The sequence below is a fragment of the Homo sapiens genome, chromosome 9, assembly GCF_000001405.40.
Source record: "Homo sapiens chromosome 9, GRCh38.p14 Primary Assembly".
Taxonomy (NCBI): domain Eukaryota; kingdom Metazoa; phylum Chordata; class Mammalia; order Primates; family Hominidae; genus Homo; species Homo sapiens.
In genome coordinates, this window is record NC_000009.12 from 103,914,088 (window position 1) to 103,933,582 (window position 19,495).

General features: G+C 34.3%; 1 long non-coding RNA gene across 1 annotated transcript; it reads right to left on the reverse strand.

Moving 5' to 3' along the window:
• Positions 1–2,508: 2,508 nt before the first annotated feature.
• Positions 2,509–12,109, reverse strand: LOC105376192 (uncharacterized). The gene is made up of 3 exons (XR_930193.3): positions 12,060–12,109; positions 4,320–4,461; positions 2,509–3,963 (listed from the first exon to the last, which is right to left on the reverse strand). It is a non-coding gene; the product is annotated as an uncharacterized LOC105376192 (long non-coding RNA).
• Positions 12,110–19,495: the final 7,386 nt, after the last annotated feature.

A 19,495-nucleotide genomic window follows, 5' to 3' on the forward strand; every position in this document is an offset into this window, starting at 1 on the left:
AGTGTGGATACTGTACTTACTCATGTCTATGTTTGGTACACACATACCCTCAGTGAGCAAGAGGGAGAACACCAAATAGATTGGCCTCTTCATTTTAGATTACAGAAACTATTCAGTAAATATTTATTGTATGAATAACCCTATCATTGGAATGAGCTTCTTCCAAAGTCTCAAAATTAAATAACCTCAGAAAAGACAGTCAAGGACCTCGTGGAATACACTCCAACTTTCGATGAATAGTTTTATTGTCTGACTTAGACTGAGAGATTAAGAATTACAGGAAAATCATTTGAATGGTAATAAGGAATTTCATTAGACATTACGCTAAATTAAGGACTCAATAACTTGTTAAGGAGGACAATATTTGGGGGTTCATGAGCCTTCAGGTAGCTCTCAAATCTCATGCTGCCTAATGCAGAGGCAAATACTTTGACATATTTAATGTTATATTTTGAAAAGACATAATTTTCCAAAACCTTCTAGTAAGCCATAAGGAGAACACAGAGGGTCATTCAAATAAGATAAATATGCATATAGTAAATCTCATTTTGCGTACTGAGTAGTTTATGTCTTTCTTGACTGTTGACAGTGCAGTATTTTGTCTGGTGTATGCCCTTCTAGGAAAAGAAAAAATAGAGTTCAACCAGTTTGGCTATAAATTCAAAATTAATAGAGAAATGAATTATTCATCTATATTTATAGCCTGTGTATAACTATCTGGCCTTTGCCATCATAGCTATTTTTCTTATGTGAATTAATAATGGATAAGAAGCTAGTTGCCTTCAAACGCCAGAACTCTTGCTTATTTTTTTATTTTTTAAACTCTAAATTAAAAATAAAATGTATTATAAGACTGATGTATCATACATCATTTCTGATATCCTGCAGCTATAAGATCTCAAAATTCTCATCTTTAGTGCCATTAGGCTGCAATGCTATTAATGTCTGTAAGGGATATAACAATTAGCTTTGATACAGTATCTCTCTCCTGACTAGATGTGGTCATGGAATATAAGATTTATAGGCATATACAATTTCTAGAAATATAAACTCTCTGAAAGTTACTGCTAGAAATGAAAACAAACAACTTTAGAGCTCTTATTTATAATATTAACACATTATATTTGAGAGCTTTGCACAGTGAAAGAGCCCATGATTCGTTAATATCTCATCCTCAGGAATTTAAATCGTAGTCCTTTTTTAGTAATAAAATAGCTGTAAAATTCTGTATCTGATTAATTGCATCTGCCTCTTTATCTACCTAATGGAAAAGGTGTAATGGAAAGAATTTGTGCCTTTGATTCAACTAGACCCCTTTAAATTAGATCTTTCACCAATTAGATGTATGGTTATGATCAAATAATGTCATCTCTCTAATACAATTTTTATCAAATAAAAAAGATTCTAATTTATAACTTGAGGAGAATTTATGCAGATGATATATAATATAGCAATTAAATGTGATGATTAAAGCCTCAGCTCAGTTTCTTTTTTTGTGAGGACTTACTCTGTTCTTTCTATTTCTACCTCTACCAAATTGAAATATATACATCCTCTCAGCTACCTTCTAGAAAGTATTAACTTCCTTTTCAATATTTTTTCCAAGCCTTAAGTCTCGTCTATTCCTAAAATTATTTTATCTTACCTTAGTTGTTTAATTTTAGCCAATCTAAATCCTTTTCATACGAAAGCGAAATAGAGACAATAAATTAATAAACATGGCCTTGCCTAATTCAAGGAAAGTTGCCATTAGGAATAAGAAATAGTACATCTTGTGGTCCCAGGTTTTGTTACCTGTCACAACTTAAAGAAATGTTGTTAATATATACTTTAATAATCTTTCTGTTATTATATGTATCTCTTGACTCATTCTTTAACTTTGCACATTTGTTGTTTTTATTTGCTTTGGGAAGTTTTATCTGACTTAGACTCAGGGAGTCTTTATCCCTTCTTGGAAATTAACACATTTAGAAATTTGTATTTTTTTACTCAGCTTTATTAAGGTATAATTGCCAAATAAAAGTTGTATATATTTATCATGTACAATCTGAAGTTTTGATACATTGTGAAATTATTAAATAAATCTAATTAACATATCCATCACCTCACACACTTGTTATTTTTGAGGTGAGAACATTTAAGATCTGCTTTTCCAGAAATTTTCAAGTATTAGTTATTATTAACTATATGTCATCATGTTGTACAACAGACCTCCAGAACTTATTAATCCTAACAGAAACTTTGTACCCTATGACCAACATCTCCCCATTTCCCACTCACCCCCAGCACCTGGGAACCACCATTTTATTCTCTCCTTTTGTGAATTCAACTTCTTTGGATTCCACATATGAAATTAGGCATTTCTTTATAATCTGGTTTATTTCACTTGACATAATGTTTTCCAGGTTTATCCATGCTGTTGCAAATTATAGGATTTTCTTCTTATTTTTAAGGCTAAATAGTATTGCATTGTTTACATATACCACATTTTCTTCATCTATTCATCCATCCATGAGCACTCAGGTTGCTTCCATATCTTGGCTCTTATGAACAATGCTTGTAATAAACATAGGAATGTGGGTATCTCTTCAACATACTTATATGATTTCCTTTGAATATATAACCAGAATTAGAATTGCTGGATCATACAGTAGTTCTATTTTTAATTTTTTGAGAAATCTTCAAACTGTTTTCTGTAATGACTGTACTTGTTTACAACCCAACCAACAGTGTACAAAAGTTCTGTTTTTTTCACACCCTCTCCAACACTTATCTTTTATCTTTTTGAAAAAATCTTTTCTAACAAGTGTCATGTAATATCTCATTGCAGCTTTAGTTTGCATTTCTATGAAGATTAATGATGTTGACAATTTTTGTATATATCCGGTTGGCTCTCTGTATGTCTTCTTTTGAGAAATGTCTATTTAAGTCTTTTGCTCATTTTAAAATCAGGTTATTTGTTTTTTATTAAGTTGCTTGAGTTCCTTATAGATATTGACTATTAACCAATCCCTTTTCAGGTATTAGGTATACAAATATTTTCTTCTGTAGGTTGTCTCTTTACCCTATTGATTGTTTCCCTTTCTGTGCAGAAGCTTTTGAGTTTGTGTGCCATCCCATTTGTGTATTTTGCTTTTTGTTGCCTCTACTTTTGCGGTCATATCAAAAACTTCATTGCCCAAGCCAATGCCAAGAGGCTCTGCCCTATGTTGTCTTCCAGTTGTTTTATAGTTTCAGACCTTATATTTAAGTATTTAATGCATTTTGAGTTGATTTTTTATATACTTTGAGATGAGGGTTCAATTTCACTCTTTGTATGTGGATATTCAATTTTCCCAACATGGTTTATTGAAGAAACTCTTCTTCTCCATTGTGTGTTCTTGCCACCTTTGTCAAAGATCAATCGACTATAAATGTGTGCATTTATTTCTGGGCTCTTGTCCTGGCTCTGGCTAGTCTGGAGCCTGGGGTCACTGGGGCTGGCCTGCCACTAGAGTGGGCCAGAAAGCTGGGTTCAAGGGTGCTGACCGGATGCCTGGAACTTGTCTGTAAACTTGGTTGGGCCTAGAACCCACATCTGAGGGGTTGAGCCTTAGGGCCTAGGGCCTCTGATGTGGGCCTGGAGGCCTGGCACCAAGTTGCACTGGGGCCAGACTGGTTCTGGGGTCCATGGCAAAGTCTGATGCCCACTTTCCTCTTTTTCTCCAACATAGGAGTATCTTTGTCCATGCTGTCCTACTTGGGTTTTGAGGAGGAGTGATACAGAACACATAAAACTGTCCTTTTTACCCTCTTCTTTACATCTTTCTTATTTCTGTACTATACCCAGGTGCTATATCTCTCATCTGGGTTTCTTAGCTCTTATGAAGGCATTTTTGAGTGTGGATAGTCGTCTGTATTGATGTTCTGTGAGGAGCTGATTACTGGGAAGTCACATTCCACCATCTTGCTGATGTCACCAAACTAAATAAATAAAATAGAACAATTCTGAATGACAAAAATTTAGATAACGTGACTAATCCAGTAGCAAAACTGACAGCCAAACAGCCTTAGTAAAAGTATGCAGTGCTTAAAAAAAAAAAAAAGGAAAGAAAGAAAACATTAAATGGCCTTACATGAGAATATATTCTCAAGCTATGAGAAGCTCCATCATTGTCTGATATACTTATATCAAACTTGATTCACACATTTATGTGGCCTACTAACCCCTGTTGGCCTTTCACCTCAACAATCTAACTACTAACCACAGAATAAAGCTAAGTATAAAGACAATCACTTTGATGGAGGTCACTTTTTTTTAATCTACCCTATGTGCAAACCTGTTTCCCTTCAGGTTTCATCAGCACCATGTGGGTCTCCATGAAGACAGCAGGATGCATGCCATCCTGGGACCAAGGAGAGTAGGACATATAACATAGAAAAGTAGAAAGGCTTCACTGTGTTGTTGCTGGAAGAGAGAACCTAAGAGAGTGGAACAAGAAGAGAGAGAGAGTCATAATTGGGGTTCTTTTCAGGGTACAAAACAGAAATGTCAAGTGTGTAGACAACAAGTCTCTAAGAGAAGCCCTATACATGAAATGAGGTTGTAGCAGAAGAATGACAGAGGGATGTAGCTACAGATATAAACTAGAGATATCTTTCAAAGAATTCACCAATGAAACCATCTGACCCTAGAGTTTTCTTTGTGTGAGTGTGTGTGTATGTGTGTGTGCTTCCTCTAGTATCCAATTCCAAGGTTTTAACAAATATAGAACCATTCAGTTTTTCTATCCCATCTTCTCTCAATTATAGTAAGCTGCACTTTACAAAGAATTTTATTCTATCTTAATTGTGAAGTTATTCCCATAAAGTTGTTCATGATAGTCTCTTTTTAATATTTTAATGTCTGTTGGATCTCTAATACAATCCATTTGTAAATTTCTCATATGCGCAATTTTTGCAGTATCATATTTTTGATTAAGTAGGGGTTTATGACTTCTGTTGATCTTTTCAAAGAGCCAACTTTTGACTTTGTTTCTTTATTTTGTATTTCACAGATTTCTGCTCTCATCTTTATTAATTACTTCCTTCCCCTTTGAGTTTACTTAGTACTTCATTTCTTTCTCTTAAAATAGAACTTTATATCATGTGTGAGTAAACTTTTTGTTAAAGGGCCAAATAGTAGACATTTTAAGCTGTGCCAAATGAGGATATTCTATAGATATGTATATCAAGGGTATTCCATACATAATATATAACTATTTAAAATGTGGCCTTTTAAAAATGTTAAACAAATTCTTGAGTAGGAGACGAAGAGGCAGATAGGAGGCAGAGTTAACGTTCATGTCCCACTTGAACAGACAAAACAATGTGTGAAGATTCACACTGTGAACTTTTGTTCCAAGAATCAGCAAAGGAATATACTAAGAAAACTGAAAGAAGTCACGGATCTTTTGAAAGAAATGGCACACCACTGCAAAATGCCTGTTTCTTGAGATAGGCAAAATCTGTGAGTTCCCAAAGTGTAAGAGGGGAAAAGCCTGCCTCCCAACATACATCCCCACTGGGGAATCTAAAAATCCAGATCACAAGAGAAGGACTTCACCTCACCTGGAGCCGGAATGAATTTAGGGAGCTGTGTGAAACATAAAAGTGGAAACAGCCATGGTAAGAGTCTTGTAGGCGCTCCCAGTCTCCAGCTGGAGCCCTGGGAAGCCATCCCTGACTGTTTCTCACAGAAGCCCTCAGGGAAGGCAGCCAGCGGAATTAGGGAGGGGTCAAGGGCAAAAGAAGCTTCTAACTGGATATTGTGATAATTTCTACTTAGCACAAACTTTCTTGAGCAGAATCTTGGGAGCAAATGGGAACTGCTGAAGATATGAGTGCAGGAGCCCTTGCCATTGTGAGTAGATGGGGAGGGGTGTGGCTTGCTTTCTCAGTGGGGAAGCTTATGGCCTGAGGTAATTCTGAATTCTGCGTGCAGACTGCCTGAACCTAAACTCTGTGCTGTTATCGGGACACTGTGGGAGTGAGACTGGCCTTGCCAACTGTGTGGGAACTGGAGGAGGCCTTTTGCTACTGGCTATCCCCCACTTTCCTGGTGAACAATACTGCTAAGCAGAGCCAACCATACAAGCCTCTGGAACATAACCTCATTGGCCTAAGAACCACCCTCCCATCACCCACAGTGGCCCCAGCAAGCCCTCCCCTAGAAGAATCTGAGCTCAGGCCCACCAAACTCTGCCTCCACCTAATGGTATTTTTCTATCCACTCTGGTAGCAGAACACAAGATATAAACTCTTGAGGGCTTTATGGCCCTGCCCATTGCTTAAGAAACCAGTATACTTGCCCTCACCAAGTAGGGCAAGCTCAAATCCCACTGTTAATACCACAGGTGGGGCTCTCTTGAAAGTACCACTTCCTAGCTGGAGGCCAACCAACTCAGTCCATCACAGCAACTCAGGACAGAATAGCACTGCTCCTAGGAAGGAGTAAACAACAGTTAATACCACCACCTGCAACACTTTGGCTAACTAGAGGTCCTGAGTTGGACCACATGACAACTTCACTGCTAGCATAACCAACATTTGAGGAAGCCAGCACACTAAACCTATCCACAACCCAAGGATTCTCACAGAGTCTATGTCACTCCCCTGCCACCTCCACCAGAGCAGGTGCTGGTATCCACAACTGGGAGACCTGAAGACTGGTCGTGTCACTGGACTCTTTGCAGACATTCCCTAGCGCCAGCCTGAAGCCTGGTAGCCCCTCTGGGTGGCTAGACCCAGAAGAGCAGTAACATTCACTGCAGTTCAGCTCTCAGGAAGCCTCATCCCTAGAGAAAGGGGGGAGCACGACACCAAGAGATGACCCTGTGGGAAGAAAGAATCTCAACAACAGGATTTAAGTTCCAGATCTTTCTGCTGGTGGGTAGTTTCTCACAGCAGAGACACAATTGCAGTGTTGGGTGCAGTAGGGAAAGTCTACACCTATAGCCCAACAGGCAGACAGCCCCTGTAACCATAAAGGGCCTTGGAAAAGGGGTCCTTGTATACCCCTGGCAGTCCACCGTAGACATAGCTGGGGCTTCTCCCACAGGAATGCAGCATGGATTCACCTATAGACAGTCTCTCTGGAACAATCCAGGGTGAGTACAGCTCCACAGGAGAAGTGCCCCCCAGATTCAGGCCTGCACAAGGGGCAGAGTCACAATTTCCCCCTACTTGGAACATCAACTTTCTGATAGATGAAAAGAGGTGCCTGTCTGATCTGAATAGCTGAAACACTAGGCCAAGAGTGAGTCTATGAAGTAAATCGCTTTCCTGCTGATCTGGCAGGGGAGCTAATGTAGTTCCCACTGTTCACTCTGATACAACCTCAGCACATCTAATTGAAAGCTCCCCAGCCACCCTCATCAAGGCTGGGACCTCAGCCCACCATTGAGTGTTACATCTACCCACCTGCCTTAGCCACAAACAGTGCCTACCCAGGGATACCTCCCTTATTGGCCTGAAGCCTGAATCATCAACTCAGTGAATAAAACACCAGGAAAAAATTAAAGTCTACACCATGAGAGAAAGAGTTAAGCTTGAAGAGATCTCTGCCATTCCAACTCCATCGGGGACAGTGAACTCATAATTTCATTAAAAAGAAAAACTCTGAACAGACCAATAACAAGTAGTGAGATTGAAACAGTAATTTTTTAAAATGCCAACAAAAAAGTCCAGGACCATTCACAGCTGAATTCTATCAGACATTCAAAGAAGATTTGGTGGTACCAATCCTACTGAAACTATTCCAAAAGATAGTGAAAGAGAGCATCCTCTCTAAATCATTCTATGAAATTAGAATAATTCTAATATCAAAATCAGGAAAGGACATAGCAAAAAAAGAGAAAACTATAGATCAATATCCCTGATGAACATAGATGCAAAAAATCCTCAACATAATACTAGCTAACTCAATCTAACAGTGTATCAAAAAATAATAAATCACAGTGAAGTAGGTTTTATACCAGGGACATAGGGATGGTTTAACATACACAAGTCAATAAATGTAATACATCACATATACAGAATTTAAAACTAAAATCGTGTGATCATCTCAATAGATGCAGAAAAACCATTTGACAAAATCTAGCATCCCTTTATAATAAAATACTCTGCAAAATTAGCATAGAAGGGACACTCCTCGAAGTTTGATGGATGACATAAATAGAAAAATATCCAATGCTCATGAATAAGTAGAATCAATATTGTGAAAATGATCGTACTGTCAAAAGCAACCTATAGACTCAATGCAATTCCCATCAAAATACCATCATCATTCTTGACAGAACTAGAAAAAAAAATTCTAAAATTCATATGGAACCAAAAAAGAGCTCTCATAATCAAAGCAATACTAAGAAAAAGAACAAATCTGGAGTCATCACATTACCCAACTTTAAGCTACACTATAAGGCTACAGTTACCAAAATGATATGGTACTGATATAAAGATAGGCACATAGACCAATGGAACAGAATTGAGAACCCAGAAATAAACCTAAATACTAACAACCAACTGATCTTTGACAAAACATACAAAAACATAAAGTGGGAAAAGGACACCCTATTCAACAAATGGTGCTGGCATAATTGGCAAGCCACATGTTGAAGAATGAAACTGGATCCTCATCTCTCACCTTATACATAAAGCAACTGAAGATGGATCAAAGGCTTAAACACAAGACCTGATACCATAAAAATTCTAGAGGATAACATCAGAAAAACTCTTCTAGATGTTGGCTTAGGCGAAAAATTTATGACCAAGAACCCAAAAGCAAATGCAACAAAAACACAAATAAATAAATGGGACCTAATTACATTAAAAAGCTTCTGCGCAGCAAAAGAAATAATCAGCAGAGTAAAAAGACAAGCCACAGACTGGGAGAAAAATCTTGGCAAACTATGCTTCCTACAAAGGACTAGCACCTAGAATCTACGAGGAAAGAATTCTAACAAATCAGCAAGAAAAAAAACAAATAATGCCATCAAAAAGTGTCCTAAGGGCATGAGTAGACAATTCTCAAAAGAACATACACAAATGGCCACCAAATATATGAAAAAATGCACACTAATTACCAGAGAAATGAAAATCAAAACCACAATGTTATACCATCTTACTCCTGCCAGAATGACCATAATAAAAAAAAAAAAAAAAGATGTTGGCGTGGATGTGGTGAAAAGAGAACACTTTTACACTGTTGGTGGGAATGTAAACCAGTACAACCACTGTGAAAAGCAGTGTCAAGATTCTTTAAAGAACTAAAGGTAGATCTACATTTGATCAAGCAGTCCCACTGCTGGGTATCTAACCAAAGGAAGAGAAGGCATTATACAAAAAAGATACTTGCACAAGCACGTTTATAGCAGCACAATTTGCAATTGCAAAAATATGGAACCAGCCAAAATGCCCGTCAATGAACAAGCGAATAAAGAAAATGTGCTGTATACATACCATGAAATACTACTCAGTCACAAAAAGGAACGAAATAATGGCATTCGTAGCAACCTGGGTGGAATTAGAGACCATTATTCTAAGTGAAGTAACTCAGGAATGGAAAACCAAACATCATATGCTCTCACTCGTAAATGGAGCTAAGCTATGAGGACTATGATGATGCAAAGGCATAAGAATGATGCAATGGACTTTGGGAATTTGGGGGAAAGGGTAGGAGCGGGGTGAGGGATAGAAGACTACACATTGGTTACAGTGTACACTGATTGGATGATGGGTGCACCAAAGTCTCAGAAATCACCACCAAAGAACTTCTTCATGTACCAAAAAAATAAAAATAAAAATAAAAAGGAAAACTAAGTAAAACAAAAAACAAAAATTAAAATTAAACTTCATCACTTCTAAACAACATATATTGAAGTCTTGCTCTCTCCTTTTCTTCACTCATATGGGCTATTATTACTATTAATTATCATAATTAGTTTATTTAAATTTAATGTAACTATAGATATGTATGGATTTAAATACTTGTAGATATGGTTGGATTTACATCTCCCATTTTACGAATTGTTTTCTGTTTATCTGTCTTTTGTTCCTGTATTACTGATTTCTGACCTATTTTCAAGTTCATTGAATATTTTTTATAATTCCTTTTTAATTTATCTTTTACCTCTTTGTTATACCTCATGGAGTTAATTTTTAATGGTTTGTTTCCTAAGTTTTCCTGAGGTACTTAGTTTTAACATTATACATCTTCACATAAATGTGAGAATCTTGAACTCCCCCCACTTTATGCTATGGCTGCCATATGTATTACATCTACATGTGTTATTAACCTCACCATATGTTATAATATTTGTTTTAAATAACACGCATTTCAAATAAATAGGAAAAAATAATCATTTATATTAACACCTATATTTACCCTTTCTGGTACCAATTCTTCCTAAACAGGAACTTCCTATCTTTACATTGGTATCATTTCTCTACAGCCTGAAAAACATTACCACTTCTTATATTGTAGGTCTGCTGGTAACAAATTTCATCATTTTAATTTATCTGAAAATGTCTTAATTTTATTTTTATTCTTGAAAGATATTTCACAAGATATAAAATTTCCAGTGGGAAATCAGAAGTTACTTGTATTGCTCTTTCCCTGTATTTAAGGTCTGCCCTCTAAATTCTCCATTTATCTTTGTTTTTTCAGCAATTTGTCTTTGATGTACCTAGGTGTGATTTTGTTTTTCCACTGCTTGTAGTTTAATGCTTATATGAAATCTATAAATAAATGGTTTTCACCAAGTGAGAAAAATGTAGTCACCATTTTTCTAAATATTTTTTCCATCCACTCTCTTCTCTGATTCTAGGGTTTCAATCTCACAAATACTAGATATTTGATACTGTCCTAGAGATCACTGATAACTCATTCTTTTTTAAAAGTTTTTATTACTTTCTCTTTTTCAGGTTGTATAATTTCTAATAATCTATGTGCAAGTTCACTGACTATTTAGTCATCTCCAACGTGACCTCCAACTTACCTTATTTTTCTCATATTATCTTTTTAGGCATAGAATTTCTATTTGGTTATATTTTATAGTCTCTATTTCCCTGTTGAGATTCTCTACATTTTCATGATTAACAACTACATATTATTTTACATGTTTGAACATAGTTATAACATGTGTCACATCAAGATTGATTTTCATTAATTGCATTTATATTTATGCAATTATATATGCATAAATATATATGCATATATATATGCATATATAGTATGATATGACTTTTCATTTTTGCTTAAATAAGTTGTCAATTAGTATCATTTTTTAACTAAAATGTTCTTTATCAAGCGGTTGTATTACTATTACAGCACAAATTAATAGCTATACCAAGGTTTACTATAGATACATAATTATGAAAATATTTGGTATTTTTATATTCCACACTTGAAAAACAAGAGCAATGAAGCTGCATCAATGAGAAAATGGGATTTAGGCACAATTCTGCCACTAAGTATGTGCATATGCATAAATACATTTCCCTTTGTAGGCCTCTTTACCCCATCCACAAATCACGATGTTGGTACATAATTATCTGGGGTGCTTTTAATACATTTGATACTTGGGAACAACCTCAGACCAACTGAAACTGGATGTCTGTGTGTATTACCTGGCTTTGTTTGCTTTTCTTTTAAATACTGCTAGGACAGCTTCCTGTATAGCAAATTTTGTGAACCACTGTTCTTAAGGGTTCTTTCTGTTCTACCATTCTGAAATTCTAATCACTTCCTTCAAGTTATGATATTTTAAACATGACATATTCTTATTTTCTGGAAATAATGAGCTCTAAGTTATCTATATTTCAGTTCATCTTGGTATATTATTATATTTTATTGAATTATATATATATATATTTCAATATCCTGGGCAAAGCACCCAAGGCAATAGGCTTTTCAATACTCTCCAAATTACTGATTTTCTTTTCAAAGTTGCTAAGTCAAATGAATTAATCATTCAAAGCCATATATTATTGTATGAATTCTTATCATGCTTTATATTAAAAATATCCACATTAAAACTTACATGTTTCACTTTAATGTTGATAGTGGTTTGATATGTAATGTTACATTTTCTGTAAGAAAAAAAGAAATGCGAGTATCAAGAATTCGATTCCACCAAATTATCCTGAAATATATTTAGTAAAAATAGACTATTTAGCCACACTGAGAAAAGTAAACCTGTCTGATTATTTTTTAGCCCTTTGGCCTGGGTTCTAAGATTAAAAATGGCAAATACTTTGGGCCTGGATAATAATTCTAATCTCCCAATCTGCTAGTAGACATTAAATAATTGATTATGGCCTACTGTCCTATTCAGTTCGAATGCATCTTTAAAATCTCCCAATACAGGAAGTCACTATGAGTCTCTCAGACTTGAAACTTTAGATGAAAACTTTTCGTCATGTCTAATGTTAAAATAGTCTGTTTTACTGTTGGTGAAACAAAGGCTTAAAGATGTTAAATAACTTAAATAATTTATAAGTGGAGACACAAGGATTTGAAATGAGGAAATTTAAACCAACACTCTGTGGTTATCTGATTGCCAAACTAGAAGAGAAAGAGGAAGAGAAGGGAAAGGAAAAGGAGCAGAGGGAGAGAGGAAGGAGGGAGGAGGAAGGGAAGGGGAAGGGGAGGAAGGAAATTATTAAAGTTGAGACAAAACCGGAGCACCCATTTTTATGCTTTGTATTTTGTTGTGCCCAAGTGCCTCCCCAAGCTTCAAAAATTATTTATATATCAAGTGCATGGAAAATTGACTATAAAAAGTTCAGCAAGAACATGAACATGGATATGTGGTTCACGTGGCAGAGAAATCCATAAACTAGGGATTGAAGCCCTTAAATTATTTAACATCAATAACTCACTGTACTTGCTACGAATCCTAGCTTAACAAGCATATTCTTGAATGTGAATGTTTCTTATCTATACTGATATCTAGGAAGTATAACAAGTATAACTTTCTTACTAAACATCTAAATCTTACATTAGAAAATAATTACCACTCAAACATTTTTAAAGAGTGTGTGTGTGTGTGTGTGTGTGTGTGAGAGAGAGAGAGAGAGAGAGAGAGAGAGAGACAAGGAAGGAAAGAAGGAAAGAAAGAAGGAAGAAAGGGAGGGAGGGAAGAGGAGGGGAGGGGGAAGGGAAGGAAAGGAAGGAGGGAGAGAGACAGAGAGAGAGAGAGAGAGAGAGAAGAAAGGAGAAGGGGAAGGGAAGGAAAAGAAGGAAGGAAAGGTTTTGACCAAAACATTCTATTCAGTACTTCTATTGAAAAAAAACTATAGTAGTTCTACAGTGATTTGGGAAGAAAAAATATAAAAACAACTTCAAGGTTTTTTATCCATAAGTTAATGACTAGAAACGTGGTGAACATTTTAAGCAGTTTTTCTCTAGTATTTTAATCAAATTAACCTATTATTTTCCAATTATATAATCAAAGACTTAAAAGAGTAAAGGAAATCTCTTCTAAAGGGATATGATTTATTTTTTGGCATAATATATTTGTCTCCAAAGCACTGTTTCCAAGTCGCAATATGGTATTGCATGTATTTATGTAATTCTGCATGTGCAATTGAAACAAAACTCACTTTCATTTTAAGTGAATATTTTTACCTTCAGTTTTAGATTTTTGCTAGCCAAATATATGTTAATAACATGTACTTATTACTTGGGACAGAGCAAGCAGTCTACCAATCTGATAATTTTTCTTAATAAATTTTTGTATCCAGAAGTATTACTGATCCATGCAAAGAGCTGATTTCTCTTTAAAATTATGTTCATCAATTTCAGATATTTATTTTTCTCTATATAAATATTCACTGTGGACATTGGTAAACCTAAGAAGAATAAAATAGTTGCATGCTCCCATTTTTGTATGCCACAAGAAGGTCAGTTTTACCTACCAATATTAGAGTATATCTAGACAGAAATTTAATATTATTTAGTCCAGAAAAAAAAACTTATAAAACAACTTGCAAATTAGTGTTCCCTTAAGGTGACCAACAACTTAATCTTGGAGAGTGAAAAGAAATCCAGATTTAATTTATTATGAAATCCATATACTTGTTAGAAAGGTACAGACCAGACTGATTTTTATGACTGATTATTTGGAGAATGCGTTTAGAAACTGACCAAATTGGTAGAAATATATTAATTTTGACCAAGCGAGTTTTATTAACTCCATATTATCAAGCATAGTCAAAAGTTGACTGTATAATCATCTAATCTGCAAAACCACTGTGAAAGGCAACGTTATCTATTGCAATGGTAATGAAAGCATTAGGGAACTATATGGGGAAGATGGTGAGGTACTCTATTCTCTTCTGATTTTCAAAGTAATGGGATTTGCTATTTTAGTACAGAAGAAAACCTCTGGGTCTTTTGGTATTTGACTGAACTTTAAATACTAAATCTGTCTTGGCATTGCTGAGCCTGTATTCTCTGTATCTGTATTCTCAAAGCCATGTCTACATTGGAACAGTAAAAAAGTGTTTGACAGTCCATGATTAAGAAAATTTGAAGGTCTGCTACTGCCCTCCTTCGTCGCACTTAGTAATGTTAAACTCACACTTCTGAACTGGTAATTTACCTATTAAATGGAAATTGCCCTACAGTGCGCAATATTTATGAAAAGGACTGCTAAGCAGATTGATTATTTTAACAGTTACCAGAGTAAGTGTTTAAATTACTTCAGAAATGAAGCTATTTTCAAACTTTCAAAACTATATACTATTGCATGCACGATGCTAAATTGTCATTCATTAATCAGCTGGTCTCAAATATTAATTTTGTCTTTTTTTGTAAGACTGATGTTCACACATTGTTAAGTATAGAATTACCATCAGGAAATATGGTAATACTGACCTGTTATGGTCATTTGATATTAATGTTCTATTATAGACATTATTATCAAAGCAAAATTCTTTATAAAATAATTAAATCAGTTTACAGAATGCCTATGATGACTACTAAATGATTATTAGAGGTGATAGTATTCAATGGCCCCCAAAATGTAGTTAAATCAATGCATTTTTACTCTACTATGTCAGTATAGATTAATAGAACACTTCTGAAAGGACTATGGTAATAAGTAGCAAAAAACAAAGCTTTTCATGCCCTTGCTATAGTTATTCCATTTTGGGAAATTTCTCCTAAGGAAATAATTCAACAAAGGTGATAAAATATATTCCTAAAAAATATTCAATGCAGCTTTACCCGTAATAGAATAAATGTTCAACAATAGGGAAAGACTTGCTAAATCATAGTACATTAATACATTTGGGATATTACATAGCTATGAAAAATGATCATTATTAAGACTAAGAGGAGACAACTGTTTGTAATATAATTTCAAGTGGCACAAAAGAAAGCATGGACTGTGATTTATACTTGACATAAACTGTGTAAAATAAGCTATTTGCAAATAGCAATAGGAAAGTAATAAGCAAAAATGAAAAACACCTGCTCCATTTGTATGAAAAGTCATAGGTAATTGCTTTTCATTTTATTTCTTTATATTTTGTACTGTAGCACTGTAGGGTGAATATGGTTAACAACAATTTAGTGTAGATTTTCAAAAAGCTAGAAAAGTCTATGTTTGCTACACAAAGAAATGATAAATATTCAAGGTGATGAATATGCTAAGTACCTTGATTTGATCATTACACATTGCATTCATGTATCAAAGTATCACTCTGTGTCCCAGAAATATGTACAATTATTATGTGTCAACTCAAAATGAAGAAAATAGTGAATATAACAATAAAAATAAAGACACCAATAATATATCCCAGGTGAAAGACCACAGTACAGTCAGAAAAGCTGAAACAATTATAGTTTTTTTGAAATAAACTATTGTTTAGAGAAATTTTAGATTCACACCAAAACTGAGCAGAAAGTATAGGAAGTTCCCACAGCATCTGCGCCCACACATGCCTAGCCTCCCTTACAAGCAGTATCTCCGCCAAAGTGGTACATTTGTTACAGTTGTTGCACCTACATAGACAATTCATCACCACCCAAAGTCGATCGTTTACATTAGGGATCACTCTTGGTGTACATTCTATGAGTTCTGACAAATGTATAATGACAAGTGTCCACCGTAATAGTATTATACGGAATGGTTTTATGACCACCCAAATCCTCTGTGCTCTGCTTATTTATTCCTGCCTCCCTCCCTTCCCCGTGTAAGCCCTGGAAATCACTGACTTGTTTTTTGTTTTGTTTTGTTTTTGTTTTTAAACTTTACTAGTTTATTACGAATGATATAACTTGGGGAACAGCCAAAGGAAAGGGATGCATAGGACAATTTTTTAAAACTGTGATATTTTTACTGTTTTCTCCTACTGGTTTTTAATGAGTGTTAAGAGTTCTTTGTGTATTTTGGATAATAGTTCTTTACTTTTAAAGATTTTAAGACAGATGGGCACATGTGCCTTTGCTAAAACAACACTCTGTAGATGAACCTCTTAAAGAAGGTATTTGCTATGATTGTCTGGCAATGAGGTTGCATGTAGAAAGAGGGAGGTTAGAAGATATGGTTATATTACCCGCTCTAATCTAACTATAGTTGTCCAGTTTTTGTTGATATGCTACTTAGTATCTTAATTAATCCCTTAGGTATATGAGTTCCATAATTGATGATAATAAGCACTCAATCCCACAAATTTCATACAAGCTACAGTCTACTAAGAAGATATGGGATTCAATTGTTAGCAAATGGGATGTGAACACTGCTTTCCAAGTCTTTCTCAGTTTTGTACACAACATGCTGGGATGGTGGCTGTGGTTACACATCTGTGAAGGATGGAAACCCAGCACAGAGGCTAAAGCCTCTTTCTTATGCTTCTAGCACATATCCCTGAATTCTCAGCACAATTATATTATATAGTTGAAAAATAAATGTAGTATTTTACACCAGTTTTCTACTATCAAGTTTTAAATGAGATTTCTTAAGAAACCACTAACACCATAGTACTACTCTTCACAGCTTACACAATACTAAATAATGAATGAAAAATTATGAATAATCATTAAATATGCACAGCTGTTTTGCAACCACATAGTGAGGACCAACTCAAGGGCAAGTTGATCACAAATTTCTTATTTCACAAGACCAAGAAAGATTGATAATAGCAGGCTGGGGAGAATCTAATATATCACCTATCAACTTTATCATTTATAAATAAGGAGTTTGGAGGAAACCATATCTCTTAGCATTACTATTAAATCAAAACCTTATTTTAAATTCATTTAAGGGAATTCACTGAGGCCTGTTTACTGTGCTAACTACTATGCTAGGTACTATAGATAACAGATGAAACAACACTACACTGTGCACTGTATTAACTACCATAAAAAAGTAAAAGAAAATAAAAGGGTCATAGATTCAGAACATATGTCAGAAGTAAACAGTGGAAAATATATATAGTGAACTGAAAAAAATTTTCCAACACTGAATTCTATATTAAATAAAAATATCCAAGAAAGAGGGTAAAATAGTTTCAGAAAAACAATGTCATGATCATTTGCCACAAGCTGACTCTATCAAATAAACACCTAAACTTACTGAAAGAAGGTCTTCAGGGAAAAGCAAAATGATTCCATGGGGACTAACTGTTTAAAATGTACTAAAAGAGTAGATCTTAAGTATCTTCATCATACACAGACACACACAATAAGGGTAACTACATATGATGATGGAGGGTTGATTAATGTAATATGTGTATGTGTGTATAAAATCATCACACTATGCCTTGAAAATATATTTATATATATATACAATTTTCCAAGAATGAGTGAAAATTTGGGTACTGGTCTTTTTAAAAAGGTTAAAGGTCATGAAGACTTTATTATTTCTCTTCAGAAAACATTTAGTGAACACCTCTTCTGTGCTAGGTATTTCAGTACTAAAAGGTGAGCATTCCCTAATAGAAAGAAAAAATATTATAAGGCGATGTTCATTTAACAAAAAAAGTGCAGGAAGAAATGAGAAGCCATAAAAATGAAAATATATTGGCAAATTTAAATAAGCATTAATTATATAAAGAAATAATAACATTTTGTGTTGAAAAATATAGAGAGATGTTTTTAATGTCCTACAATTATCACCTCTCGGCCTTTTGGCTAAAATCAAGTGAAATGTCCTATAATGATAGAATATAAATCAGGAGCAGTAATCAATGGAGTTAAAGTGTTCTCAGTTCTTTGTATAAGCAGATAGTAAAAGTACCAAATAATATTACACTTTTGCTGAGTGAGGGATATTGGTTAGTATATAATCCCTAAACAAATAGAAATACTGTGTTATTCTTAAAATATAAAAAATAGAACAATAAAGATAACTTTATTGTTTCAATAAATATATTGTTTCAATAAAACTTCATTGTTTCAATAAATATATCTTTCTCTTTCTCCTTCTATCTCTGTTTCTATTTCTTTTCTTTCTTGCCTTTTTGGAAGGCCTTTCCTTTCTTTGCCTTCTTCTCATTTCTTCCTGCACTTTTTTGTTAAATGGACATGGCCTTATAATATTCTTTTTGGAAGGCAAGAAAGGAAAGAAACAGAAACAGAGATAGAAGGAGAAACAAAGTCTATAGATAGTAGATTTACAATCAAATATATCAATAACTAGGTTAGAATTAAATGAGATAAGCATTCCATTTAAAAGATGATACTTGCATACTAAATCAAAGAACAAACTTATATATTACATTTACAAGGAACATATTTACCAGACGAGGAAACAGAAAAATTGAAAACAAAGAATAGAAAGAGCATTCAAGTAATAACTGAAAGGAAGCAGATGAATCCATATAAGTATCCATCAGAATACACTTTAAGGCAGAAGGCATTACTAAAGATTTTTTTTAAGTCATAATTAATGAGAAAATTTTCATTTACCAGGAATATGTAACAATTCTAAATTTCCTCAAAATAGATGAAGGAAAAACTTGACAGAACTATAAAGAGAAATAAATAAATTCCAACAATGATGAGAGATTATAATACATGCATTTCAAGAATCAATAATATATCAACAGGACAAAAATTAGTAAAAATAGTCAAGATTTGACCAATACAATTAACAAAATTTATCTTATTGAACATGTTCTCTTTTTTCAGTTACACAGGAAACAATTTAAAGAATTTAACTTAAAGATTTTTCTTAAGTTGAGAAAACACTTAAAAGTTGATCATTATTAGGTCTTAAAACAAGCTTCAATGAATTTTAAAGAATTAAATAATACAGAGGACATTTTCTGAATGCAGAGTAATTAAGCTACAAATCAATAACAAAAATATAGCTAGGAGATCCACATATGTTTGGAAATGTTAAAATGTACTTCAAAATAAGCATAGGTCCAAGAAGAAAATAAATTAAAATTGGAAAATAATTTTAATTGTATATTATACAGTTAGAATGAAATTAGATTAGTAATTAAGGCAAGCACTTTAGTT